Source organism: Homo sapiens, chromosome 6 (genome assembly GCF_000001405.40).
Source record: "Homo sapiens chromosome 6, GRCh38.p14 Primary Assembly".
In the NCBI taxonomy this organism is placed as follows: Eukaryota; Metazoa; Chordata; class Mammalia; order Primates; family Hominidae; genus Homo; species Homo sapiens.
This window is the reverse complement of record NC_000006.12, coordinates 152244822-152272417: the sequence shown is the minus strand read 5'-3', so window position 1 is coordinate 152272417 and position 27596 is coordinate 152244822. Positions and strand designations below refer to the sequence as shown.

The 27596-nt window shown below is 39.2% G+C and overlaps 1 protein-coding gene across 49 annotated transcripts in view; it reads left to right on the top strand.

Moving 5' to 3' along the window:
- Positions 1-27596, top strand: part of SYNE1 (spectrin repeat containing nuclear envelope protein 1) — a 515676-nt gene that overhangs the window by 364945 nt on the left and 123135 nt on the right. For 34 of the 49 annotated variants that reach the window (XM_047418508.1, XM_017010610.2, XM_017010609.2 and 31 more), the window contains 7 exons: positions 3129-3263; positions 4253-4362; positions 10230-10386; positions 15653-15784; positions 16672-16827; positions 17329-17538; positions 23156-23257. In XM_047418508.1, the coding sequence (XP_047274464.1) occupies positions 3129-3263; positions 4253-4362; positions 10230-10386; positions 15653-15784; positions 16672-16827; positions 17329-17538; positions 23156-23257 (1002 nt within the window). The remainder of the gene's footprint in view (positions 1-3128; positions 3264-4252; positions 4363-10229; positions 10387-15652; positions 15785-16671; positions 16828-17328; positions 17539-23155; positions 23258-27596) is intronic. The other 15 variants (NM_182961.4, NM_033071.5, XM_017010615.2 and 12 more) reach the window with 1 other exon arrangement.

The following is a 27596-nucleotide window of genomic DNA, read 5'->3' as shown; positions in this document are numbered from 1 at the left end:
GGCAAAAGTGGTTACTGTTCTAGTATTTCCAAAATAAAGTTTATGTAGCCCCACCCAGTGGGGACTGGTGACAGAAACCGCCTAACCTCTGCATTCCCTAGGCATGGCAGAAAACTGTTATCACACCTCAGAGAAAGTAATTACCATAATTACATTCCTTCTGGCTGCACCTTCTTATCCCCAGGGGAAAGAGAATGAAATTTGAACTGGATTCTTAATCATGGTTTGCTTCCTGTGGTCCAAGTCTTATGTTTCACAATGACTAAATCATTCAGAGAAAAATTCACTCACTGAAAAACTGAGTCTAACCGCATAGAATCTGAATATATATCTGTGCATATAAAAGTGAGGAAGTTGTTAAGACCTAACATTTCGATTGTCAGTGTTCCAAATCCAAATTTGGTGTAAGGAACTTGAGCCAACCTCTCTCAATCAGACCATAGTAACTGGTGTAGAAGAGCGTGTTGGGCTCAGGGCTCGGAGAATTTTCCAAGGGAGTCTTCAGGCCGGGCTCTGAAAAACAAATTTTTGCTGAAGAGAAAAGCAGAGAGGAAGTGGCCTGGATCCCACAAAAGCAAGTCAGCAGGTCATGGCCAGGGCCACTACTTTGGCAGCTGGAGCAGCTCTGATGGGGACAACTTTCAGTCTCGTCCACTGATTTCTTGAGGCCATTTTCTATGGGTTCCTTTTGAACTGCTGTTTCAACTTTGCTTGGAAGAACCAGGATCTTTTAGAGCTTATTCTTAGAAGGTGGTGGAGTCTTAGATGAGAGAGAATCTGTTTTCATGCAGAAAATCATGGGTTCCAGTTCTGGGAGAATGCCCATCCACCCAAACTTCCCATCTCTAGGAAAATCACTGCTTATCTTTGAGAAATTCCGCAGAAGGTGGAGAATTTAGTGTCACTAGTCACCCATTCTGAAGGTCTTGCAAAATGCAACTAGCATATATTAGACCATTGCACCCCCGTTGTTCTACCTAAACTGCAATCTCTGGCTGGATCATCTGAAAGGAAAGGAAGTACCTCTGAGCTCGGGTGGGCTCAGAATCTGGGAGAAAGTTTTATATACTATTACCTACAGGTTTTTACTGTTCATTTAGCTTCAAGCACCGACACCGCCTTGCAAAGATAAAGATAAAGTCTATTAGACAATTTAATCATGAGATTCTAATGAAAAAAAGAAGAAACAGAAAGGTAAACAGATCCCATCTATTTCCCTAAAATGGTGAGTATAAAACTCTGAAAATAGGAGAGCGAGAGAAGGGTCTCTGTGGGCAGTTAGGTTGGATGAGCTGGAATGGCTGGGTCCCATGTTGTGCTCAGACATTGCAAAGAACAACCAGGGGCAGGCGAGCAGCAGCTCCAGAAATAGATGGCAGGAGGCTCCTCCGTGGAAGCAACCTGTAAAATATCCTTCCTCTGCCCCATGGTACGCCAGCCCTGCTGTCCTCTTCACTGCTCTGTTCTCTCTGAAATGGCAAATTTCTTTCACCTTAGGGTCTTTGTGCCAACTGTTCCCTGGGTCTGAATGCCCTCACTCTAGATCTTTGCAAGGCTGGTGGTCTCTCGTCATGCAGAGTGCAATTGTCTCTTCTAAAGATGCTTCCTTAGGCCTCCCTAAAACTTTCTATCCCATTATCAGTCTCTGTAGGCCTTATCTTCAGCTCAGTTATCTGTTTGTTTATAGTCTAACTCCCCACCAGGGCCCTCATCTGGCTTCCAAAACACTCCCAGCTTCTAGAACAGTGTCTAGTGAGTGCTTATTAAGTAGTGAATGAGTTATATTGAAATTATAATTTATCCTTTGACAGATGAATCTATGTGAGTAGAAAAGCTCTCATTCAGAACTAATCCCATTTGATGTGCAACATTTTAGGGCCTTTCAAATTCCATTAGAATAATCAGGCAGGAAGGATCAACTCTTGCCTAGGTGCTGAGTCATTACTTTGGTCTTTCTCCTTTAGTCAGACTTTCTCCAAGCCAGCTTAGCAATGGGCCAGTTTCTGGTGATGGTGATGGAGGGAGTGAAGGGTACTTTTTCAGAGATCTCACCTTTAATAATCACACCACTGACCTCTCAAGGCTCAATTAAGCTTTGAATTTGTAAAATGGTAACCACACGTGCCCACAGTAAATGACTTTTTTTAATGTGCTAATTGATGGTTCTGAAAGAAAGACTCTTAAAGAGTTTTCATCTTTGAGTACAGTCTATTAATTATGTAGGTCAGTCTATAAATATTATTATATAAACAGCAGACTCTCAAAGATAGAGAATTCTAGGAATAATTTAAATCTATCGCCCTAGTAGGGTAGACACAGAAGGTTTACACAGACCAGTATCAGGGATGAGGCTTCCTGCCTAGTTCAGTGTCTTGGGACTTGAGTTACTGTGGTGGAGGTGAGGCTCTGTGACATAGAGGTCAAGACCTGGTCTGTGAAAGGTGGAACAGAGGATGTCCAGCCGGCCTGGGAAACCCTTGTTTAGACTCCTTGCCTCTATGCTGCAGTACATTTTCTCCCATATGAACTGAGAATCAAATTTAAGTTCTTACTGAATTCCAGAGAGTATGATGCCTTACAGAACAGTGAACTTTTTGCTTCTCAAAGACATTAAAATGTCTTTGATTAATAATCTTTTAGAAAAATTTTTAGGAAGATTATTCTAAAAATCTTTCATTGTCTGGACCTGGATTAGAGAAAGTGACATAAGGCAGGGTAATGCTTTCACGGGAGAGACACAATTATTGTGGGTAATGATCATTTGAGAAACAGTTTACCTTTGTGTGACTTAAAAAACAAACTCATCAAAGGATCTTGAGTTATGTTTTTGTGGAAAAAAAATCTGGAATATCTGATGACCACATTGGTCAGCTAAAAGACTAACCTCTAAATATATGGGTTTTCCCCTCAAACAGTTCTATGTGTGATTATCTGTATGTTGTTCTTGCTCCTGCAAATGCCATAACTTAGATGGGTTTTGTGTTACTGTTTTTTTTAAAAAATGTGGTTTCACATCCCAGTGGAGCCACTTTGGTATCATTACATAGATCACACCAAAGTAGCCTTCTCTCCCCTTTGGTTAAGGTTTTCCGGTGTGTAGCATGACTTGATTTCTGCCTCGTTAAAAGCAGGGAACAGCACAGGAGAAGGAGGAGAGCGATGTTGACCTAACAGCCACGCAGAGCCCCGGCGTCCAGGAATGGCTGGCCCAAGCTCGCACCACATGGACCCAGCAGCGGCAGAGCAGTCTCCAGCAACAAAAAGTAAAGTGTTTCCTACCTCTCTCTAGCTTGCAGATCTGCCCAGAGAAGAACCTGAGAGGCATATTTCAGAAGGACAGACAAGTTGCTTCTGTACTAAAGACAGAGTGTCTCTTTATCTTCTCTTTGAATGAAGCAAGATGTTGGTGTTTCAGTGTATTGACTCATGACCACTGGGATGATTGGTCATTTGAAAATCCAGTCTTTAAGAAAAGCTTGTGTTTAGGTTTACAAATAGTGTAACATGGCTCTCATCTTCTTTACCAGAGATACCTATTCTGTTTTCAGATTTGCCCTCTGAATCTATTTAATTTTAATATAAATCTCAGGAAAGCCTTTTGAGGTTTGGTGAAAGTGTAAGTTGCATGTTTGTTATTTTTTTTAATGAATGCAGTTTGTATTTTTACTTTCAAGTAGATGTCGTTACAAAATAGGATTGCTAATTGTTGCCTAGTGAAACAAATGAACTTTGATGAATAAGAATGATTTCTCATTGGTACCTTAACTGTATGTAAAAAGCATATTCAAATATTTTATTTTCTCAAATAACAAGAGGATTTATTATAAATAATGAAGAATTAAAGCCAAATCTATTGATAACCTAATTTATCAATTAAGTGGAGAACTTAAAAAGCCACTTTTCCCAAGGATCTATCCTTTTAGCATGACAATATTGATTTTGAAAAATGAGAGTACATTTTGTACCACTTGAGGGCACTATTGCCCGGCAAAATTTTCTTTTCCCATTGGTGGTTTTTTTTTTTTTTTTAACCCCCAGATTTTTCAGAGGTATCCTGTATCAAAGCAAAAGAACACTACAGAGTACTTTGGAGACACATTTGAATATTTACATAAACCTCATGCTTTATGCAATATGCAAACTTAAAAGCTCACTACCGAAGTTCTCTGAGAATTTTATAGCTAGAACTATGATTGTAGGCAATAATCATAAAGTAGCAAATGTGTTTGCGTTTGTCCTTTCCCTTGAGCAGGAGTTAGAACAGGAATTAGCCGAGCAGAAGAGTCTCCTTCGCTCAGTAGCCAGTCGTGGAGAGGAGATTCTAATTCAACATTCGGCGGCAGAGACCTCTGGTGATGCTGGGTATGTTTCAAAATGCTTCCATTTTCTCTTCATTGTGTTTCCCTGACATTTGAAGAAAAGTAAACATCTCACTCAAAATTTTATTTTAAACATCTTCTGCAAAATTTAGTCATCTTATTTTTACTTTAGGGTAGTAAATGTACCTGCATTTTGAACATTCTGTTGCATTGCCTGAGCATAGCGCCTGTAGTAAGCTTACTTGTTTGCCCTCCTTCCAGCCTGCGCAGCCTATCTGTCCAAAGATGCTCATGAGTTCATCTTTTTAATCGAATAAGAAATGCATTATAAATGAGATGCATGATGTTTCTAACTGAATGATTGTATCTCACTGGAGAGCATTCTCTCTGTAAGAGCTTATCTTGCCCTAACAACATTCTAAAAAATAAATGCAGGGGCCCGTTAAATATTTTGAAATCTTGGTCTGGAGTGAAGACTTTCAAAGTCTTCTACACAGAAGAGTCAAGAAAAATTAAGGAAGTTGGAGAATTTTCAAGTTGAAGACTTTTATTTAAAAGGTCATAGAGGAATTGCAGCAGTGTGGAAGCACCACTATATTTTGAGGCAGGTCTGAGTTTTATTCTAGTTCCACGAAGGTCACTTTGGAAAAGTCACTCGACTGTGAGCCTCCTCTGTAGAATTTAGAATAATAATCCACTAAGGTCATCACAGAAGTTTTGTGATAATTATGAATGTCAACTGAGAGGATATACAGGAAAACTTTCTTTGAAATCTAAAACATAAAAAAAAAAGTTTTCATGCAACCTCTGTGTTTATGTATTACTAAAAGTTGTAATTTGGTAGTATCCTTTGGCAAATAACTTTGACTCCATTTCCCATTTCTGAATAGTCATTTTTTAGGGGAAGTAACATAAAGGAGGAAATATGTATTATGAAGGTGGTTTTGGAAATATTATTTGTAATACCAAATAATTAAAAAGACATAAATGCTCACTACTATAAAAAAGTTGAAGAAAATTTTATACATATATAATCTTAACCAAAAGTGATGTAACCGTATCAAAAAATAAATGTATGATGCTAAGTAAAAATGTGATATAAAGTTGAAAGTAGAGTATGTGTGTAGATAAGAACTAGAATAGACCGTCAATAATAAAAAAAACATTTTAGAGATGGACGACATAGGAATTAAACTTTTTTTTTGCAGTTTAATCAGTGCTGACATATGACGTCAATGCTGACTACGTACAGTCTGTTACATATACACACACATATATACATATATACGAATTCTGAGGGCAAGTGATAGGAGAATAAACAAACTAAAATGCAATTGCAGCAGATATATTGTGACAAAAAATGTAGGAAATAGGAAGGCATTCAAGAAAAGGAAAACAAAACAAAAATCTGTGAAAGTTTTGACATGGCTAATAAATATCAATGTAAAAGAATAGGAATGAATAGTATTATGGCATCTATAAGCAGGGACTGACTTTAAATAACCCTAAAACTGTAAAAATTGCCTTAAAAATATAAAGGAGTTTAAAAACTGTCTGTTGTGTATCATGCTTAAAGATGCTGATTAGACCATGAATATGTGTCTGTAATAAACCCGAAGTGAGACTGTTTCTTTCATGTTGATTGAGCCAAGACTTGCCTTCACGTTACATTCCAGGTCCTCTAAAATGTTTACTTATCTTGCATAGTTTTCTGAATATTTTTGCCAAACAAATATTTTGACAAAGAACCCATCCAGCATTGCTTCCTCTCTGTATGTATCATCACTAAAGGAGCAGAAGGGATCTTCTGCAACTTTATTACCATATATATTTTTTTCTTTCCTTGGCCTTTAGCTTTGGAAAGGACCTAAATGAAATACAAACAACTGTAAGTTACTCTTTCAAATATAAAAAATATTTTAAAAATAAATTTGCAGTGCAGTACTGGCTTTCTATATAAGATCCACTTTAAAGACTACTTATAAATTCTTTAACTTTTACACAAATTTTTAAGAAACTTCACCTTTATATGCAGTTGATAACAGCTCAGCCTGTTTTCAAGCCTTTGGGTACCAGGCAAACAATTAACCATGAATTAATGATATCTACATTCCAAAGTAAATATATATGTATATATATATAAACCTTGCTAGGAAAAAGCCTGATATTCAGCCCTTAACTTGCCAGCTGCTTTTCTAAGACTATAAATGTGACTTGGTTTGTGTGAGGAAACCTCTGTGGGAAGGGCATGACCTACTTTATAGAGTCACACATTTGCCGTGTAAGGAATAAGTACTATGTTACTTGTCGAGGGTTGATGGAGGGTGCCTTCCAAGATTACTAAGGAAAAACAACTGGAAATTTGTTGATGTCAATATAAAAGGAAAGAAGAATAATTTTCATGGGGAACAAAAGGCTATGTTTTAAAAGGTTTGCTACTGGTGTTGTACGTGTGTCAATGATTAAATGTAAGACTATAAATATTAAATATTCCTCTGGTTTTATTACAAATTTTTATGTAAATACAAATGAATTAAAAGTGCTATACTATAGGCTATTACCACAAAAGAAAAAAGCAATAAAGAAATTTAACCTCATAGGAACTTCAAAGCTTTTTAAAAATAATTTTTAGAAAATAGAAAAATTCAGATACTAATATTATAGACACTCAACTGAAGGTATCAATTATGTTTTGGCATTTTTTTCACTCGCCATTATTTTTTGAGATATATGCATGTTGAGATATAGATCTAGTTCTTCATTTTAACTGTTTAATAGTATTTTATTTTGTGAACATAATTTATTCACCCATTTTCTTATTGCTGGATATTTGCACTATTGCCATTGCCATTATTATTATTGTTACTATTGCTTTTTTTTTTTTTTTTTTTCTGAGACAGAGTCTTGCTGCGTTGCCCAGGCTGGAGTGCAGTGATGCGATCTCAGCTCACTGCAACCTCTGCCTCCCGGGTACAAGTGATTCTCCTGCCTTAGCCTCTCGAGTAGCTGGGATTACAGGTGCCCACCACTATGCTTGGCTAATTGTGTTTTCAGTAGAGATGGGGTTTCACCATGTTGGCCAGGCTGGTCTTGAACTCCGGACCTAAGTGATCCACCCACCTTGGCCTCCCAAAATGCTGTGTTTACAGGTGTGAGCCACCACGCCCAGCCCTAAGATTGCTGCTTTTAGCATTGTTTAAATTAACTTCCTACATGTCTCTCAGATGGGAAAGATTCTCTGCATTATATCCTAGGAGTGGAATCCCTGCATCACACATTTTAAGAGTTTTATTTTTCTTGAGACAGGGTCTCACTCTGTCACCCAGGCTGGAGTGCAGTGGTGTGATTATAGCTTACTGCAGCCTTGAACTCCCAGGCTCAAATGATTTTCTTGCCTTAGCCTCCAAAGTAGCTGGGACTACCGGCATGTACCACCATGCCTGGCTAATTTTTGAATTTTTTTTTGTAGAGACAGGGTCTGGCTATGTTGTCCAGGCTGGGCTCAAACTCCTGGGCTCAAGTGATCCTCTTGCCTCAGATTCCCAAAGTGTTGGGATTACAGGTGTGAGCCACTGTGCCTGGCCAGTTTACAGAAATTTTAAGTCTTATTTCTAGAGACTTATCTAAAGACACTGTTGTGTTTACATTTATTCTAAGAATAATTGGCTTTGGGGTACCACAGAGTATTATCCTGCCAACACACTTGTTATTCTTTTTTTTTCACTTGAGCAAAACGCCCTGCATCAAAATATTAATTAATATCTAGTATTCCTTTTAGATGACACGGTTTTAGTTAGGACTTCAAAGGTCCTGAAGAATGAAGATCCGTGGAAATTCAGCCACCCTAGGTTGTTCCTGTTTTCATCTTTTTTTTTTTTTTTTTTTTTTTTTTGAGATGGAGTCTTGCTCTGTCACCAAGAAGAGTACAGTGGTGCAATCTCAGCTCACCACAACATCTGCTTCCTGGGTTCAAGTGATTCTCCTGCCTCAGCCTCCCGAGTAGCTGGGACAACAGGTGTGCGCCACCATGCCTGGCTAATTTTTGTATTTTTAGTAGAAATGAGGTTTCATCATGTTGCCCAGGCTGGTCTTGAACTCCTGATCTCAGGTGATCCACCTGCCTTGGCCTCCCAAAGTGCTGGGCATGAGCCACCACACCCAGCCCATTTTCGTCATTATTAACCCCCATTTATTGAGTGGCCATTATTTCCCAGATAGGGTTATAGGCCTTATGCATGTATTCTCTTTCATTCTCATAATCATGCAAGGTAGATACTATCTTCATTTTAAAGATGAGAAGATTGAGGCACAGAGAAGTGAAACAAATTACCCCAGTGTCACAGATAATGTGCTAGAGGGAGGGTCATAATCCAGGTCTGTCTCACTCTAAAAGTTAAACTTGGCTAGCCATGGTGGCTCACTCCTGAAATCCACAAATTTGGGAGGCTGAGGCAGGAGGATCATCTGAGTTCAGGAGTTCCAGACCAGCCTGGGAAACATAGTGAGACCCTGTCTCTACAAAGAATTAAAAAAAAAAAAATTAGCCAAGTCTGGTGGTGCATACCAGACTTGGGAGGCTACTTGGGAGGCTGAGGTGGGAGGATTGCATGAGCCCAGCAGTTTGAGTGTACAGTGAGCTGTGATCACACGAGTCCACACCAGCTTGGGTGACAGAGTGAAACCCTGTCTCAAAAATAAATAAATAAATAAGAGCCATACCAATCTCAGATGTCACATTGCTGCCTACCTTTAAGGATGACACTGCAGGGCCTTCCTCCCATATCTCTCTGCACTATCCCTCCGTGTCCTGTACTACCTTCCTAGGTGCTGTACTGTCTCTCTGTGTCCTGTACTACCTTCCCAGGCTCTATACGATCCTTCCTATGTCCTGCACTACCTTCCCACGCCCTGTACTATTCCTCCATGCCCTATACTACCTTCCCACATCCTGTACGATCATTCCTGTGTCCTGTACTACCTTCCCAGGCCCTGTACTATCTTTCCGTGTCCTATACTACCTTCCCAGGTCCCGTACTATCTCTCCATGTCCTGTACTACCTTCCCAGGCCCTGTACTATCTTTCCGTGTCCTGTACTACCTTCCCAGACCCTGTATTACCCCTCCATGTCCTGTATCACCTTCCCAGGCCCTGTACTATCTCCCCGTGTCCTGTGCTACCTTCCCAGGCCCTGTACTATCCCTCCGTGCCCTGTACTACGTTCCCAGGTCCTGTATTATTCCTCCTCAGGGTCCTCTACTACCTTCTCAGGTCCTGTCCTATCTCTCCATGTCCTATACTTCCTTCCCAGGCCCTGTTACTATACCTCCATGCCCTGTACTACCTTCGCAGTTCCTGTATGATCATTCCCGTGTCCTGTACTACCTTCCCAGGTCCTGTACTATCCCTCCATGCCCTGTACTACCTTCCCAGGTCCTGTACGATCCTTCCTCTGTCCTGTACTACCTTTCCAGGCCCTGTACTATTTCTCTGTGTCCTGTTGTACCCTCCTGTGTCCTGCACCGCCCTCCTGTGTCCTGTGTTTTCTCTGGACTCATAATCGTAACTCTCCCTAGACTAACACATTTTTAAGGTTTTGAACTAACTTTTCTGCTATTTGCCAAAGGATACTAGTCTGTAATCGTGCTATAATTTTTTATTCCAAATGTTACAATTATTTTTATTCAATGCATTTTTAAGTATCCCTTCTGCACATGGTTCAGTTTATCAATGAGTAGGAATATAGTTGCTTTATGATTGGCCTAAACATTTTTGTTATTTTTAAAGTGTAAGCTAATAACTAAGGTAATCTTATTTCATTTGAGAAGCCAGGTCTGGTACACACAATAAGTTACCTGTCTTATCACTTTTTTGTGCACATTGTAAACTTAGATTATTTATTCTTCTAATAGCGAAAAACCTGATGTGTTATCCCAGGAGTTGGGGATGGAAGGGGAGAAATCATCCGCTGAAGACCAGATGAGAATGAAATGGGAAAGCCTACATCAAGAATTTAGTACCAAGCAGAAACTACTACAGAATGTTCTGGAACAGGAACAAGAGCAAGTGGTATCAAATATTTTACATTATATATTAACTAATATAAAAGATGTAGAGTTTATGCTGAGGGATTATAACTGTGCAATCAACTTAATTTTCATGATCAATTTCAAACTAAGACATGACACCAATTTTTCACTCTACATTTTTCTTAACAAGTCTATTTCACATTTCCCTTCATAATTATATATTTATATGTGAAAATTTATTTGATTTATAGACAATATTTTTCCTCAGAGATGATTAATATCTGATTCCTTATTAGCCTAAACCATTACATTTTAAGTGCCCTCTTTTTGTGTGTGTTTTGCAAACTTGAAAAAGTAAGGATGGAAATCAAGGATATGCACATCTAGGACAGAAGGATTTCCACAAATCTGGAACTCAATTGTGAGGCCATCTTATTTTCCATTGCCACTTCCAGTATTTAATAATTTCAGGAGATCTTAATGAGAAACATATTGGGACGTTGGTGGGTCTAGGGCAGGGAAGTGAAGCCAGTGGTCAGCTGGAATAGTTATGGACCCATCTGCAAGGCTGGTTCCTGGGAGGGATACTGTGTGCTGTCGGGCTTGGTTCCACCAGGCATGCCAAATCCAAGGGAATTGAAGACAGCAACAGATGGTTCCAGATAATGGCTATTACTTCACTCTAAGCAGAAGCCAGGGAACAACTGGAAGTCAGAGGACTTAGAAAGTTAGAGGGCAAATGAGGGAGTCAGGAACACAAGCCAGCCTGGGATGCCTACCACAGCTGTGGCCCAGAGGAATTCTTCAGATACAAGACTAGTCCTTTGTCCTGGGCTAGCAGCGTCCATCTAGGCTCATTCCAAGTCAGCAGTATTATCGGAGTGAATTCTAAAACCTTTCCTGTTGCTCTGCGGAAGCTGCTGTTTCTCTGCTCTGGCCAGAACTAGCTTAGGGGCTGGGAGAGGCTAAACCAGAAGCAAAGGGTGTCAATAACTGTAGTGAATTGGAGGAGGGAAACGCTGGAGCTGAGAAAGTAGGCATTAGAAAGCAGGCGCAACCTGCCAGAGTTAAATGGAAGGAGATGGTCTAAAGCAGGGCTTCCCAACCCCCAGGCTGCAGACAGGTATGGGTCCGTGGCCTGTTAGGAACTGGACCTCACAGCAAGAGGTGAGCGGCAGGCAGGTGAGCATTACTGCCTGAGCTCTGCTTCCTGGTTAGAACAGTAGCAGCACTAGATGCTCATAGGAATGTGAACCCTATTGTGAACTATGCTTGTGAGTGATCTAGGTTGCATGCTTCTATTATGAATTTAATGCCTGATGATCTGAGGTGGAACAGTTTCATTCTAAAACCGTCTCTCCCACCCCCGAGAAACCAACCCCTGGTGCCAAAAAGGTTGGGGATCGCTGGTCTGAAGGTCATAAGGTGTCCTGTCATCTGTGGATAGCCACACATACGTCTCTCCAGAGCCACGCTTTCTATTCTGTTTTTATAAAAGCACATGCTTTTGTGAATTTTCTGCCCCCTCACTTTCCCTCTCTGGCCAGGAGGCTTCTTTACCTCTGTCTGCAGAAATAGCCACCAGCTCTGCCCTGGGAAACTTAAAGCACTGTATTCCTGGAAGCAGGTGTCCCAGAATCGTATCCACCCTGGCAAATGGTGCCCTATACTTTTTGCGTGGACCTCCTCCCTGTATTTTAATTCATCCTTCCTCAAATCCCTGATAAAATGTCCTCCAGACTCATAGCTCAAATTCCTTGTTCCTGATACGGATCTTCTGGACTTGACTGCTAGCTCTCCCTTCATATTCTAGTATCCCTCCAATCCTTTGAATAGGAGAGGTATGTACAGTTCTGAATCAGGGACTGCAGTCTTTTCTGACTATCTTAAGTTAGAGAAATCTACGATATTTCTAGATTCTGTGCTTGCGTATTATTCTCCATTCATAAAGCACCTGTGTGATTCGTCCGGCATCTGCAGACCTCCTGGAGGTCTCATCCATTACCCGCTTTCATCTTCAAGAGCTGCTTTTGCTCTCAGTTGGAGCCGACACTCCAGCGTCCTCCATGCTGTGCTTACTGAACAAACCTTGCCCTGCTGCCACTGACATTCCACAATACCTGGACTGTTCAAATTTAGGTTCATGTTGTGCCTCCCTTGCCTTTGGATTAGAAATAAAAGCATTGAATGTTCTTTTTTTAATGACATTTTTGCATTTGAGTGCTTTGTTTCAGCAATCGCTGGTCATTTGTACAAAGTGCCTCATAGGTTGTTTTCCTCTCTGTGGTGTGAAAAGGTGAAGGAAAAGAGAGGGAAGAAGCAATTTAGCTGTCAGTTTCCAGGCAGAAAGGAGTGATCATATAATGAGCACATTTTAAGTTCTAGGTGTTAACATCGCTAACAACGTTGTGGTGAGGTCAATATTATCTCTACTTTGTAGACCTGGAAACTGAGGCTTAGAGAGGGTCTTGCGACTAAGAAGAGGTGAATCTGGAATCAGGAAGCCGATATCTCTGTTACCTAAGTCCCTCCTCTTTCATACTACCTTAATGGCAATTTTGTATCCTAGAAATACTTACTAGTTTCATATGTAAAAACAGGCACATTTTGGCCTAAAGTTCACTAGGTCAAAGGGCACTAACCTCTTAGAGCAATTTTTCTTAATCTGTTTACTTCCAATGTATTTAATGCTTCCATGCACAACAACCTACTTGGCTTCAGGGTGAAATACAGCTCCTGCTTCTGAGAACCTATAACCCGAATAAGGAAATAGTGCATACATTTCTAAAAAAAAAATTAGGCAACTATGACAGGATCCATAAGCAGGAATTCAAAGGAAACAAAGGTTAAGAAAAAATAGTCAAAAGTTGCTATGATCGGTATGGAAATTAAAGTAGTAGATTTTAAGGGGATGCTGGGTGGAGGATATCCCAGCTGCAATGGGGAATGGGCTTGGCATATTTACAGGATCATGAGTAGTCAGCCTGAAAGGTGAGGAGGTATTTTGAAAAGTCAAAAGAGACTGATGGCTGGGTGCAGTGGCTCACACCTGTAATCCCAACACTTTGGGAGGCTGAGGCGGGCGGATCACATGAGGTCAGGAGTTCAAGACCAGCCTGGCCAACATGGGGAAATCCTGTCTCTACTAAAAATACAAAAATTAGCTTCATGTGGTGGTGCACACCTGTAATCCAAGCTATTCAGGCGGCTGAGACAGGAGAATCACTTGAACCCGGGAGGCAGAGGTTGCAGTGTGCCAAGATCGCACCACTACACTCCAGCCTGGGCGATGGAGCAAGACTCCATCTCAAAAAAAAAAAAAGAAGAAGAAAAAAAGAAAAAGGAGACTGAGTTTGATTGAAAACATGGTCAAAAGTTTGAATGCTACACCATATCATTGCCCTTATTGGGGAGCCATATGTATACCTAAAAGAGTTTAGGGGAAATGGGGTTAATAATGAAAGCAAAGAGATCAGTCTAGGAGTCTTGTATTTAGGATGGATTATTTCACTATAGGTACTACTAAAACCAAGAAGAAAAGTTGAGAGGAAAGCTGTGATAAGATTTCTTTATGATTGCTAATAACTTTATTTAGTCAATTTTAAGAAAAATTACTCTATTATTTTGAAAAACTACATATATGCATTATAATAATTCGCATAATGCAGCCAAGTGCAAAGATGAAAATGAAAAGGAACAATTGTAACAATTCCCATATTCTGTAAATCAATTTAATCTTTAAATTCCTCAGTGCTCATAACCAATCCTTTCAGCATATCTTTTTAATTCCTAAATTTTTAATTTTGATCCAGCTCTCAGGTATTAATTTCATTGTCAAATAACTTTTTTCAAGAAAACTCAGGTTCTATCATGTTTGGGAATATCAGCTAGTTGCCTCTATATTGGATGGACAGTTTTCTGTCATACTTTTATCCCTTCAGAATTTGTATTTATATCTATTTTTCTCTTCTGGCATTGAATGACGCTTTAGAAAAATCTAACATCAGTCTACTATTTTTCCCCTTATTTATTTTTTGTCATTGTTCTCTGTATGGATGCCAGAAGAATTATTTAGTTTTCTTTAAGTTTCAACAGCTTATCTAGGCTATGTTTGATGTTGAGTGTTCTGCTATCATATTTTTCCTGTAACACAATGTACTTTTTTTATATTTAAGAATCAAGGTTTGCTTTTTTATTAATTTTAGGGAATTTTTTGGCATGATTTAGATGTATTTTATGCTATATTTATTATATCTCTGCTTCAGGGACATCAATTATCCTTGTGTTAGATCATCTTTTTTCTATACCTATTGACTTATTTTTAGTTGTACTGATCTTTGTTTTTTTAAAATTTGGATTTACTTTTCATCTGATTATTGCAAGAGTTTTCTCTATGCCAGTGATTCCATTTTCAGCAATGTCTGTTCTCATCCTTTCTGTTTCTAATTTATTTATGTCTTAATGTCATTTATTTCATAAAATTTGCAAGCCACCTTTTAATTTAATTTTCTTTTTTTATAATGTCATCTTTTGTGTGTTTTGAAACAGGGTCTTGCTCTTTTGCCCACGCTGGAGTGCAGTGGTGTGATCTCAGCTCACTGCAATTTCTGCCTCTGGTTCAAGCAATTCTCGTGCCTCAGTCACCTGAATTGCTGGGATTATAGGCGTATGCCACCATACCTGGCTATTTTTTGTATTTTTAGTAGAGACGGGGTTTCACCATGTTGGCCAGGCCGGTCTTGAACTCCTGGCCTCAAATGATCTGCCCACCTCAGCCTCCCAGAGTGCTGTGATTACAGGCATGAGCCATCGTGGGTGGCCTGCTTTATTTTATTTGTATATAATATTTGTACATATTTCTGGTGTATAGTGTGATGTTTGGATACATGTATACAGTGTGTAATGTTCAAGTCAGGGTAATTAGCAGACTCATCATCTCAAACATTTATCACTTCTTTGCGGTAGAGACATTCAGAATCCTCTCTTCTAGCTATTGAGATATACAATATGTTATAGTTAACTGTGTTTGACCTCCTGTGTAATAGAACACCAGAACTTATTCCTCCTATCTGTCAGACATTTTTTTCCACTGCTTAAAAAAAAAAAATCCATCCATGGAAACATTGCCATTGATGCATCTGGCCACTGTGTTCAGTGGACATGGTATGTTGTAGAAGTTATATTTCTCTAGAAGAAATTTTCATATGGACAGTGTTTTCAGCATCTATTTCAGTATGCATTTCCAAATGAGAATACTGGGACATAATGCATATGCTCTTCAACAAGCTGCCTTTGTTTGCCTACAGCTTTATAGCAGGCCAAATCGACTCTTGTCTGGTGTGCCACTGTACAAAGGGGACGTGCCAACCCAAGATAAATCTGCAGTTACATCTTTGCTGGATGGACTGAACCAAGCCTTCGAGGAGGTTTCATCCCAGGTAAGGCTGTGTTATCAGTGTGTTTGGCTTGGTTTATAAGAGTCTTGTTTTGCTTGTATTGATTTGCCTGGCCTCTGTGAGACTGTTGCATCCACCCCTGAGCATGAGACCCAACACTAGTGATAAGCGCTGAAACAAAGATCACTGGACCCTGGAGTCCCATCCTATTTATTTATTTATTTATTTATTTATTTATTTATTTTTTAGACCGAGTCTCACTCTGTCACCCAAGCTGGAGTGCAGTGGTGCAATCTCGGCTCATTGCAACCTCCGCCTCCTGGGTTCAAGGGATTCTCCTGTCTCACCCTCCCGAATAGCTGGGACTACAGGCGTGTGCCACCACACCTGGCTGATTTTTTTTTATTTTTTTTATTTTTAGTGAAGACGGGGTTTCACCATGTTAGCCAGGATGGTCTCGATCTCCTGACCTCGTGATCCGCCCGCCTCAGCCTCCCAAAGTGCTGGGATTACAGGCGCGAGCCACCGCGCCTGGCCCCATCCTGTTTCCTGTTTTTTATTTTATTTTATTTTATTTTTTTCAGAGTCTTGCACTGTCACCCAGGCTAGAGTGCAGTGGCACGATCTCAGCTCACTGCAGCCTCCACCTCCTGGGTTCAAGTAATTCTCATGCTTCAGCCTCCTAAGAAGCTGGGACTACAGGCACATGCCACCACGACTGGCAAATTTTTGTATTTTTTAGTACAGATGGGGTTTTGCCCTATTGGCCAGGCCAGTCTTGAACTCCTGACCTCAAGTGATCTGTCTGCTTTGGGCTACCAAAGTGCTCAGATTACAGGTGTGAGCACTGCACCGGCCCCATCCTGATATTTTTCCTGGATTTTCAAAACACTGAAATTGATTATTTGACCCTGTTTTGTGTTTCCCAGAGTGGAGGGGCAAAGAGGCAGAGTATACACTTGGAGCAGAAGTTGTATGATGGAGTCTCAGCCACCTCTACTTGGTTGGATGACGTTGAAGAACGTTTATTTGTTGCCACAGCACTTTTACCAGAAGAAACAGAGACTTGTCTCTTCAACCAAGAGGTAGGTTTAGTAGTTCCTGCCTGTGTGTGTATAACATTACAAAGCACTTGACATTTTGATGGGATAATTAATTTTATGCATAAAGAAAGTCAAACATAAAACAATTCTAATAATGCAGAACATAATTGCTTAAATGCAGAATATTTATAGTTCGCATTTTCATTCTTTGTCTTGTGTAAGTATGAGGGAAAAATGGGAAACTCTTTGTAGAAACACTGTTATGTATCACAAATCTTCCAAATACGAAACACATGCTTAAAAAAAGTACCAAATTCCTAAATAGCACTTTACATTGCTCATTATTACTAGTGAATGAGGTAAAGTCTCTGAGAGCAACTTCCTGAAATGTATAGAAGTATTTGAAAGAGGTTCCAGTTGTCTTAGGTCTGATTATTACTAAGCAGCCAGAGAGATCTAGTTGACTTTCTATGAGAAAATAACATGATTTGCATATCAATTCATGTATCTAAACACTGAAAAATGCCCTTTTATCACCTCTAGATTCTTGCCAAAGACATTAAGGAAATGTCTGAAGAAATGGATAAGAACAAAAACTTGTTTTCCCAAGCTTTTCCAGAGAATGGTGATAATCGAGATGTTATTGAAGATACTTTGGGTTGTCTTTTGGGCAGGTTATCCTTGCTAGACTCAGTAGTGAATCAACGATGTCATCAGATGAAAGAAAGACTTCAGCAAATACTAAATTTCCAGGTAAGTAAGATATTATCAAAGGATACGTGACCATTCTCTAGGTATTCAGTAATAGTCAGTCACGAGTCTGTGTTACAGACCTGGTTGTTGTTTTTCTAAATGCGTAATGAAGAACAAGAGCATTGTAGAAAATGAAGGGGGTTGAATTAAAGGATTAGAAGCTAAAGATTTTTTGCTCCTAGAAATGGAAGGTTGAGAAAACCACCCACTTCAAACTAAGGACTGAATAGAATTCAATCAATAAAAGTCAAATTTATGGATCATTATAATTATAATTTTTAGTTACTAATACCGGAGTTTAAACACATTGCGAAAGAATATGCAGAAAATGGCCGGGCACAGTGGCTCACGCCTGTGATCCCAGCACTTTGGGAGGCCACGGCAGGCAAATCATTTGAGGTCAGGAGTTTGAGACCAGCTTGGCCAACATAATGCAACCCATCTCTACTAAAAATACAAAAATTAGCAGGGTGTGGTGGTGCAGGCCTGTAATCCCAGCTACTTGGAGGCTGAGGCAGGAGGATCGCTTGAACCCGGGACGCAGAGGTAGCAGTGAACTGAGATTGCACCACTGCACTCCAGCCTAGGTGACAGAGCAAGACTCCGTCTCAAAAAAAAAAAAAAAAAAAAAAAAAGAGTATGCAGAAAGTGTTGGAATATAGAAAGGGCCATAGACTGTAGTACCTAAGAGTCTTTGAAAGTGGCTGTGGTCTAATTACTTCTACCTGTGTTAAAATGTGTTACGTTACTTTCCAGTCCTAACTCCTCAGACTTACTGCCTTTTAGCCCCATATTATAATTCTTATTGTGTGCTTAGGAAACTTTTCCTATGAATATATACCGGAACAAATGCAAAAGCTGCTGATAAACTTTTAGTGCTGATTTTTCATTCCTAATAAAAAGCACTCTTTGAGAATACATAAGTTTTAATTGAATGTTATTTTTAACCAACATGAAAGATTTTATAAAATAGAGACATGTCATTAGGGCCAAGAGTTTCATGTGGAGTTTTGATTTGCAAAAAAAAAAAAAAAAAAAAAAAAAAAAAAAAAAAAAAAAAACCAAACCACTACACATAAATGTAGCATTAGCCAAGAAACATGGAATTTTCACGAGGCACAAATTACCACTGCCTTCTGGTAGTCTACATTCTTAAAACCACAGAGTAAAACCATCACAAACATTTGAGTTTCATTTTTTTATTCACAAAATATTTTCTCATATTCATTGTCTTTAATCTTTGCGACATCCTGCAGACGTTGTTCTGATAATAATTTTGCAAAGTCAGAACAGTAAAAATTAAACATGTAGTCTCCAAAGCTAACAGTCTGGGTTCAAATTCCGGCTTTGTCACTTACTGCTGTATAACTTTGCGGCTTGACTTCCATGAACCTTGGTATCCTCAACTGTCAAATCAAACTCATACTCATATTAACTGCCTCATAGACTGTGGTGAGGATGAAATGAGTTGAGATGTGTTTAAAATACTCTGAACAGTGCCTGATACATAGTAAACACTCAGCAAGTGTTGTTATTGTTATTAGTAGTAGTATTATAAGAGATACAGGATCTAAAACCAAGAGAAAGATTAAATTACTTCAGTGTTACTCAACCATTAAGAACTAGAGCCAGGATTTTACTCAAAGAATATATATATTTTTGTATTTTATCATATTAGGGTGATCTCAGGGAAGATGGAGAATGTGGGCCTTCATTAGAGTCTCTTAAATTTTATCCAATATCCTTTGCCAGTTGATGGTACCACCAGCAACTCAGTCTTGTCCCTGAGTCAGTGGCACTGCTATCTAGCAGTCTTCCCTGATAGTTACTGCCCCCAAGATGATCAAGTCAGAATCCCCGAGTGCCTCAGCAGTCCCTTTTGCTCTCATTCCCCATATCTTTTGTGAATTGCATTTAGTATCTTTAGTACTTTCATACTTTTAAACTTTATTGGTAATTATCACCAGTCACAGTAAAATATGAATTAGGCATGAATGCTCTGGAACTTACTTTGTTTTAAGGATCTAAGAGAATCATGGAATTCTCTTTAAATCACGTTCTCTATTTTTCTTCTGCCAACAAGTTTCTATTTGTTGGTGGCCAGCTCACGAACAAAAAGACATTTCAAAATATTTGTGTTCCAATTTAGTTGAGAGAAACTTTCCAATGTTAACATAATTAAAGGTCAAGTCACAAACTATTTTCCTTTTTGTTTTAACTTTGCACCAAACACCTTGGTATGCTGTCAGTCCTCAGCAGTTACTGGAAGGGTATGCCTTCATTCTGCATTTAATCTTTCAGGATTAGCTTTTGCCAGACTGCTAACATTATTCTATACCAAAAAGACTATTTGGAAGGATGCATAGATGTTATGTAGATGTACATTACATATATAGAATCACAATAAAGTCAATTATGAACTATTTTGTATTTCAAAAATTTTACCCATGGACGTAACCTCAAATTCCCCAAACATATAATTGTGTATTGTAAATTATTTTGAAAATTGGAAAATGAATGAAAGAATTCTTTAATGAATGAGTGAGGCAGCACAACTGATTTTATTTATTTTATTATTTATTTATTTATTTATTTAATTTATTTATTGAGACAGAGTTTTGCTCTTGTTGCCCAGGCTGGAGTGCAATGGGGAGATCTCAGCTCACTGCAACCTCTGCCTCCCGTGTTCAAACAATTCTTCTGCCTCAGCTTCCCAAGTAGCTAGAACTACAGGCATGCACGCCATGCCCAGCTAATTTTTGTATTTTTAAGTAGAGATGGGCTTTCACTGTATGTTGGCCAAGCTGGTCTCGAACTCCCGACCTCAGGTCATCTGCCTGCCTCCACCTCCCAAAGTCCTGGGAATACAGGCATGAACCACTGTGCCCGGACACAACTGGTTTTAAAGCTTGAAACTTTCTGCAAATCTGTTTCTCAATGGCTAGAATCCTGCTCCTTTTTGCCCTGCCAATAATTCCAGTGACTATTAAGAAAAAAAAAGTGATGTATTTTATGTTTGTAATATATGGATACCTTAATTATCCTGTTGTATCGCAAGTGTAATAATACAAAAATAGTTCAATTCTTTGCATTTTTATTTTTATTTATTTTTATTTTTTTTGAGACGGAGTCTCGCTCTGTCACCCAGGCTGGAGTGCAGTGGCGGGATCTCGGCTCACTGCAAGCTCCGCCTCCCAGGTTCACGCCATTCTCCTGCCTCAGCCTCCCAAGTAGCTGGGACTACAGGCGCCCGCCACTACGCCCGGCTAATTTTTTTGTATTTTTAGTAGAGACGGGGTTTCACCGTTTTAGCCGGGATGGTCTCGATCTCCTGACCTCGTGATCCGCCCGCCTCGGCCTCCCAAAGTGCTGGGATTACAGGCGTGAGCCACCGCGCCCGGCCTGCATTTTTATTTTTAAGAAAATGTCAATATCCATGTGATTACTAGCACCTCTTAAAGTTTTTATTTAGTAATTTTAAAATCAATCATATTCTTTGCTTTACTATCTTCTTGACTAGTCTCTCCCAATAATCAGTCTGACTTCCAGAAATATGAACTCTGTGTTTCCTACCACCTTGAGTAGAACATAGTTAAGAGAGAAAATATGCTATTAAAAGCATAAAAATGGGCCGGGTGCGGTGGCTCACGCCTGTAATCCCAGCACTTTGGGAGGCTGAGGCAGGTGGATCACCTGAGCTCAGGAGTTCGCGACCAGCCTGGGCAAGATGGTGAAACCCCGTCTCTACTAAAAATACAAAAAATTAGCCAGACGTGGTGGTGCATGCCTATAGTCCCAGCTACTTGGGAGGCTGAGGCAGGAGAATTGCTTCAACCTGGGAGGCTGAGGTTCCAGTGAGCCGAGATCGCGCCACCGCACTCCAGCCTGGGTGACAGAGCAAGACTCTGTCTCAAAACAAAACAAAACAAAGCATAAAACTGGCATACAGGAAATCTATCTATGCACTCTTCATTTCTAACCCATGTTATGTTATATATACTTAGCTACTCATTTAGATTAACTGGACGAATGTCACTATACACACATATGTAGATAATGTAGGCTTCTGTTCAAGTGAATGCAGGACATCTTTTACTAGGTTTAAAAACAGATAAATGTGTGATGGTTTTAATGGCCCACGTGACCTTACTCTGAACACAGTTGAATGATACAGACCTAGTAACTCATATGTAAAACTATTGTTTCTAGGATTTTTCCAGGGCTGTTATTATAATTTCCTATTTAGTTAGCCACTAGACTTGCAGATTGCTTTGAGTTTTGGTTAGTGGCAACTATTCTAGTTCTCATGTTCAGCGCTATATTTTCAATTTTATAATTTTTACTGCATAATGCACCCATTATTTTGCTTTTTAGACCTGAATTTACATTATAAAGCCTTCACATGTTCTTATAGATGTTTTTCTTCCTTGGTACGATTATCCTTCCACTCATTAGACAGTCAGAATGTTTGCATGTTGGTGATGTGCGTGATCAGGCCCTGGTAAAGAGGTCCTGAGTTGAGCTTTAACCTCTGACAAATATATTTTTGCTGACTATTATGAAATAGAACTTATTTGTTGATATTTTAGAGAAAAAAATACATTTTTTTGGTAATTTTTTTTTTTTGAGATAAAGTCACCCAGGCTGGCATGTAGTGGCGTGATCATAGCTCACTTCAACCTCAAACTCCTGAACTCAAGGGATCCTTCCACTTCAGCCTCCCAAGTAGATAGGACTACAGGCATGCCACTGTGTCCACTTATTTTTTTTTTAAACTTTTTGTAGAGACCGGGTGCACTGTGTTGCCCCGGCTGGTCTTGAACTCCTGGCCTCAAGTGATCTGCCTCAGGCACCCAAAATTCTGGTATTACAGAGATGAACCACTGCACCTGGCCAAAATTTTTTATAATTTAAATATTCTTCTAATTTATTATTCCCTGTGGAATTAAGTACCAAAGTTCTGATAGTTGTCTCCTTTTTATACAAATCTAACTCAATATAAATATATTTGGACATTTAAATGAGTAATATTTTTGAACAAAATACCTAACAAGATCTTTTTGTGTTGTCTCTTCACATGTTTTTGGCCATCATGGATAATATTTATTTTCTAAACTTCTGGATGGCTTTTTTAAAGCTTGTGCAAATTTTCCAAAAATAGAAGAAGAAACTGATGGAGGGAGGGAAGAAGAGGAGAGAGCAAAATGGAAATCATATGATTCTTAAGTATCATATTATTTCCCAAATCAGGATAACACCTATAGGTTATTTCCCTAGATAAGAGCCACTAATATAATATTTCTGTGCAATGTTTGACTGTGCTCATTTATTTCGGATGTAATGAGATTAGGGTGACAAGCGTTGCTTTTTACATGTATGGTTCAACTTCATTTGTGTTATGTAGAAAATACTTTGGGTAACAGATTCTTCAGGAGTCAGTTTTAGCACATAAGTAAATTGTTACCAGTTCCTTTTACCTTCCCATAGCACAGTATTGTTTCTCCTGGAAATTAAATTTCTGTGCCTCTATGTTATTTCTTAGAATCTGTGTTATATTTACAAGTATTTTGAATTCCCTGTTACACATTTTGAGTTTTCCCGTTGCTTTCCTCCTTAGAATGATCTGAAAGTGCTGTTTACATCACTGGCTGACAACAAATACATCATTCTGCAAAAACTGGCAAATGTGTTTGAACAGCCCGTAGCAGAACAAATAGAGGTATTTATAGCTGCCTTTTCCTAGAAGAGAAAATGCATAGAGGAGATATGACTTACTATGAAATTTTGAATATTCTATGAAAGATTAATGGCTCACAGTGGCACTTTTGTTTGTAGTATTTTTGTTTTTGAGTACTGGGTTTGAATAACATACCAGGTGACATTGACTCTGTTACTTACATCTGCACAGAACTAGGAAATGTGAGCTGGGAAAAGGTATCCATGGCAGATGCTGACCTGAAGGAGTTTTCTGCCCAATGATGAGATTAGATATGAACCTCAATGACATAGGGCAGAAAGTCAAACTGTCCTGGGAGTGGTACTGACAAAGCATTATGGGTACTCAGACCCTTCTGGCCTCCAGCAGGGGTAGGATTAGGGAAGCTTTGTAGAGGGAAATTTGAACTGAACCTAAGAGTTTGGACACACAACAACAGGAAAGAAAGATATCACGGTAAAGAGGACAGCAAGAAAAAAGGCACAAATTGTTAGAGAATTCTGAGCACTTAGGGAAAAACACAGGTAATTCTATTTTAGCTGAATTTAAGATAAATGAAAGTGACTGAGGACAAACAAGATTGGATATGTAAATTTAAGGCAGTTTGTAGGGCCTGTTGAATGTGTGACTTTGGACTTTATTCTATAAACTAGTTACCTGTACACTTTATTTGTTGCATGCCTCATTAGCTAAAAAAAAAAGGAAATAAATATGCAGCATAAGTGTATGTATTTTTATTTATTTATAAATTATAAGCAATTTATGTTATAAATCACAATTAAATTCAGCCAAATTTATTTTCAATTTTTGTTTGTGTACATGCTACAACCAAAATTGAAAATTAATGTGGTTGAATATAAATGAAAGATGTGGTGTTTCATCCTGGTAAATCATCTTGCACACTCTTGGGTGTTTAGACTCAGCTGGGAGATCCCTGGCCATGGAAAGTTGTAGGGGATGTTTGCAGGTAAAAATGAATGGCAGTTCTAGATCTTGCTTCTGGTTAGTTTACATGACAGCACCAGGGTCAGGAAACAGGAGATCCATCATGAGGCTTCATGTAGCTGTACTGGAGAGAAAGAATGAGAACCCAAACTGGCATGATGGCATGAAAATGCAGATAGAAGAAATGGGAGGGATGTTAGAATATCTCCTGTTTCATAAGCTAAGTAATTGTGAGAAGTATGTGTTTTAATAGAATTCTCTGATTTAATTTCAGCGAACTTCCCGGGAATCTATGGATAGACGATAGAGAATAATCTGACATATAATATGTGTGTGTGTGTGTGTGTGTGTGTGTGTGTGTGTTAAAGAACACCTCTCAAAATAGTTTGCAAAACTGTGAGTGTGCATTTTTCTTTTTATTTATTTTTAAAAATATATGTGTGTGTGTGTGTGTGTGTGTGTGTGTGTATATATATATATATATATATATAATAAAAAATATATATTTTAATATGGAGATAGGGTCTCACTTTGTTGCCCAGGCTGGTCTGGTCTTGAACTCCTGGGCTCAAGCAGTTCTCCCATCTCAGCCTCCCAAAGTGTTGGGATTACCGGTGTGAGCCACCGCATCCGGCTGTGCATTTTTCTTGACCATAATTTCATCTGCTTTTTAAAGAGATTTCTCATTTCTCCCCATGAAAAATCTTTTTGTTTTTTTTCTTGGCTTATAATGTATGTGTGATTCCAAAAAAGACTGGAGCAACTGTAGTGATGTCTTGCTTTGGATTTCTAATATGAATTATGAGATATGTATGATCACAAGTAATAATTTTTACTAATTTTTGACCAATATAACTGAATGTCACAGATGAAGAAATAACCAGTTAGATTTTTTTCTTTGAATAAATGGAATGCAACTAATGAACGTGCTAATTCCATGCCTACCCAACTTGGATTAAAAAGGCAATAACAGCAGAGGGCATGGGGAAGACACACCTCACTCAATATAGTCATCTCTTGAGTTGTGCTGTTCCAATCCAGAGCAGTTCTCTTGCCTCATAAACCTGGTGCACAGTTGTCTTCTTGGATTTCCCTTCACCACCATCCTGAGAATCCCTTCATTTCTTCCTATGTTGGATCTTCTCTCTTCTGAATCCCAAGTCTTTCTCTTTACTGCATTGCTTCCTTGTTTCGTTAGTGCATGTCCTTTCTTAGAAAGGGTACATGATAAGTGTATTTTTCCAGATGTATGTCTGAAAATGTTCTTATACCATGTTCACACTTTATTGATCGCTTTGCTGTTTTTATGTGATCCTTCAGGGTCATTTGTTGAATATGAATTCTTTTGGAGTTTCAAGGCTTTTTCTTCATTGTTTTCTAGCTCTCAGTGTTGTCTTAAGGAATCTAAAAACATTCTAATTCCCAAAGGTTTCCAGTGTCCTGAAATTTCACAATCACATGCCTTGGGGAGGATCTATTTTTATCCACTGGGCTGGGAGCTCAAGGGACTCTTCTGATTTGGCAGCTCTCATCTTTCTGTTCTGGAAAATTTTCTAATGATTTATTTAATACATTTCTTTCCTGCATTTTACCTGTCTTCTTTTCTGGAGAACTCCTTTTTGTCAGATACTCGGGTTCAACCCTTGAACTGTCTTACCAAGAGACCTTTCTTTGTCTTTTTGCTCCGCTTTTTGAGAAACGTCCTCAATTTCAACTCCAGACTCTTGTACTGAATTGGCATTTCTGCTCTCACGTATTTAATTTTCCCGGAGCTCACTTTGGTTCTCCGAATGATCCTTTTTGTAGTATTTTTTATTTTTTTTAATGAATACATTATCGTTTATATCTTTCTGGGTATATTAATGGTTTTTTTTTTGTTGTTTAAAGTTCTACTTTTCCTGTATAATCTGTTTTCCTCCAGCTTGCTTTTATTTGTTTGCTTCTGTTAGTCCCCATCTTTCATGTCATCGAAAGGCATATTGAAATCTTTTGTTGCCTATTCAGGTTTAGGATGGAGGACTAAACAGCTGAAAGGGAACTCTGTGTGTGGATGGAACATGATAATTTTAAGAGTTCCTGCAGGATGGTCTCTATGGACCATTTATTTGTTAGAGAATCCTTCTGTCAAATTGTCAGGCCTGTCTTATTGGTGTGTTCAGATATTTTTCCCTCTCATCTCTGGAGACTAGAGCCCTGACTGCAGCACTTCTTGCCCCAGGGAGAGAAGACTCAGGGGCCCCACATTCAGCATGCAGGGAGCATCCAGTTATTTCATCCCTTGCTTTCAGTCAAGCACTCAAGCTCACAGCTGTGTCCAGTGCCCCTCTGTCTGTTTTACCTTCTCCAGAGAACACACTTTCAGTCTTTTACCCGGGAAGAAAAAGGGACAGTATGGAATAAGGAGGGGCATCTGTGGGTTAACTGTCCTTTAAGCAGCTCTTCACTAACCCTCCTTACTTAGCACCCCAGCTTACTTCACCCAGAGTTCCAGAGATTTCTGTTGCTCTGAAGTGGGTGGTGGAGATCCTCCACTGGTTTAGAATTCAGCTTCCCCAGATTTCCTAAGTCAATTATCATGTATTCTTTTGACTTCTAGCTCCCAACATATTGTTGGCATTGTTTTCTTTTCTGTTCCCTTGTCCTTTTAGATTTATGGGGAAAAAATATGCCAGAGAACAAGCAAACAAAATACTCACTCTGACTGTAGGGGGTTTTCAGGAAAGAGAACATTGGACACATGTGTTTCAGCTGCCATCTGGAGTCTTGTTTTTGTCCTCCTTCAGGGGCAACCTCTGTTGCCCTCTTTCCAAACGCCTGCTTAGGCTGCTCCAGGATTTGTGGTCTGGTATCTCCCTTCTCTGATCTCTGCTAATGGGGATGAGTTGCATTATCGAGTATAGTACTTACTTATATTCAGCCTTGCTTTATTTTTCTCTGTTTACTCTGGCTTCCTAACCAGACCATCAGCTCCTTGAAGGACAGGATGAGATCTTGTTCTGCTTCTACAGACCTCACACTGGGAAGACAAGGCTTAGCAATAGCAGCCACTTGAATACTTGTTGACTGATTGATTTTCCACTTCACAACAAGGAGCACAGATTCTTTGACCATGCTGTAATATATGTTTTGTTGCCTCGCTGAATCTCTCTCCAAAGATGCTCACAGCTACGTTTCAAGGACAGCAGAACATGGTCCCTTAGAAAATCTCAGGCAAATACCTTTTTTTAACTATGTCCTAAATGATGCTCTTTTTTTTAACTATTGCTTTTCAAAACTCCCTTTTTTGTTTAAGCAAGACATCCTTCTCCCAGCCCTCTACCCTGACTTTCTCCTGCCTCATTATCTGTAAGATAACTGCTCTGTACTAATGAGGGGACTTCTTCTGTTTTCTATATAC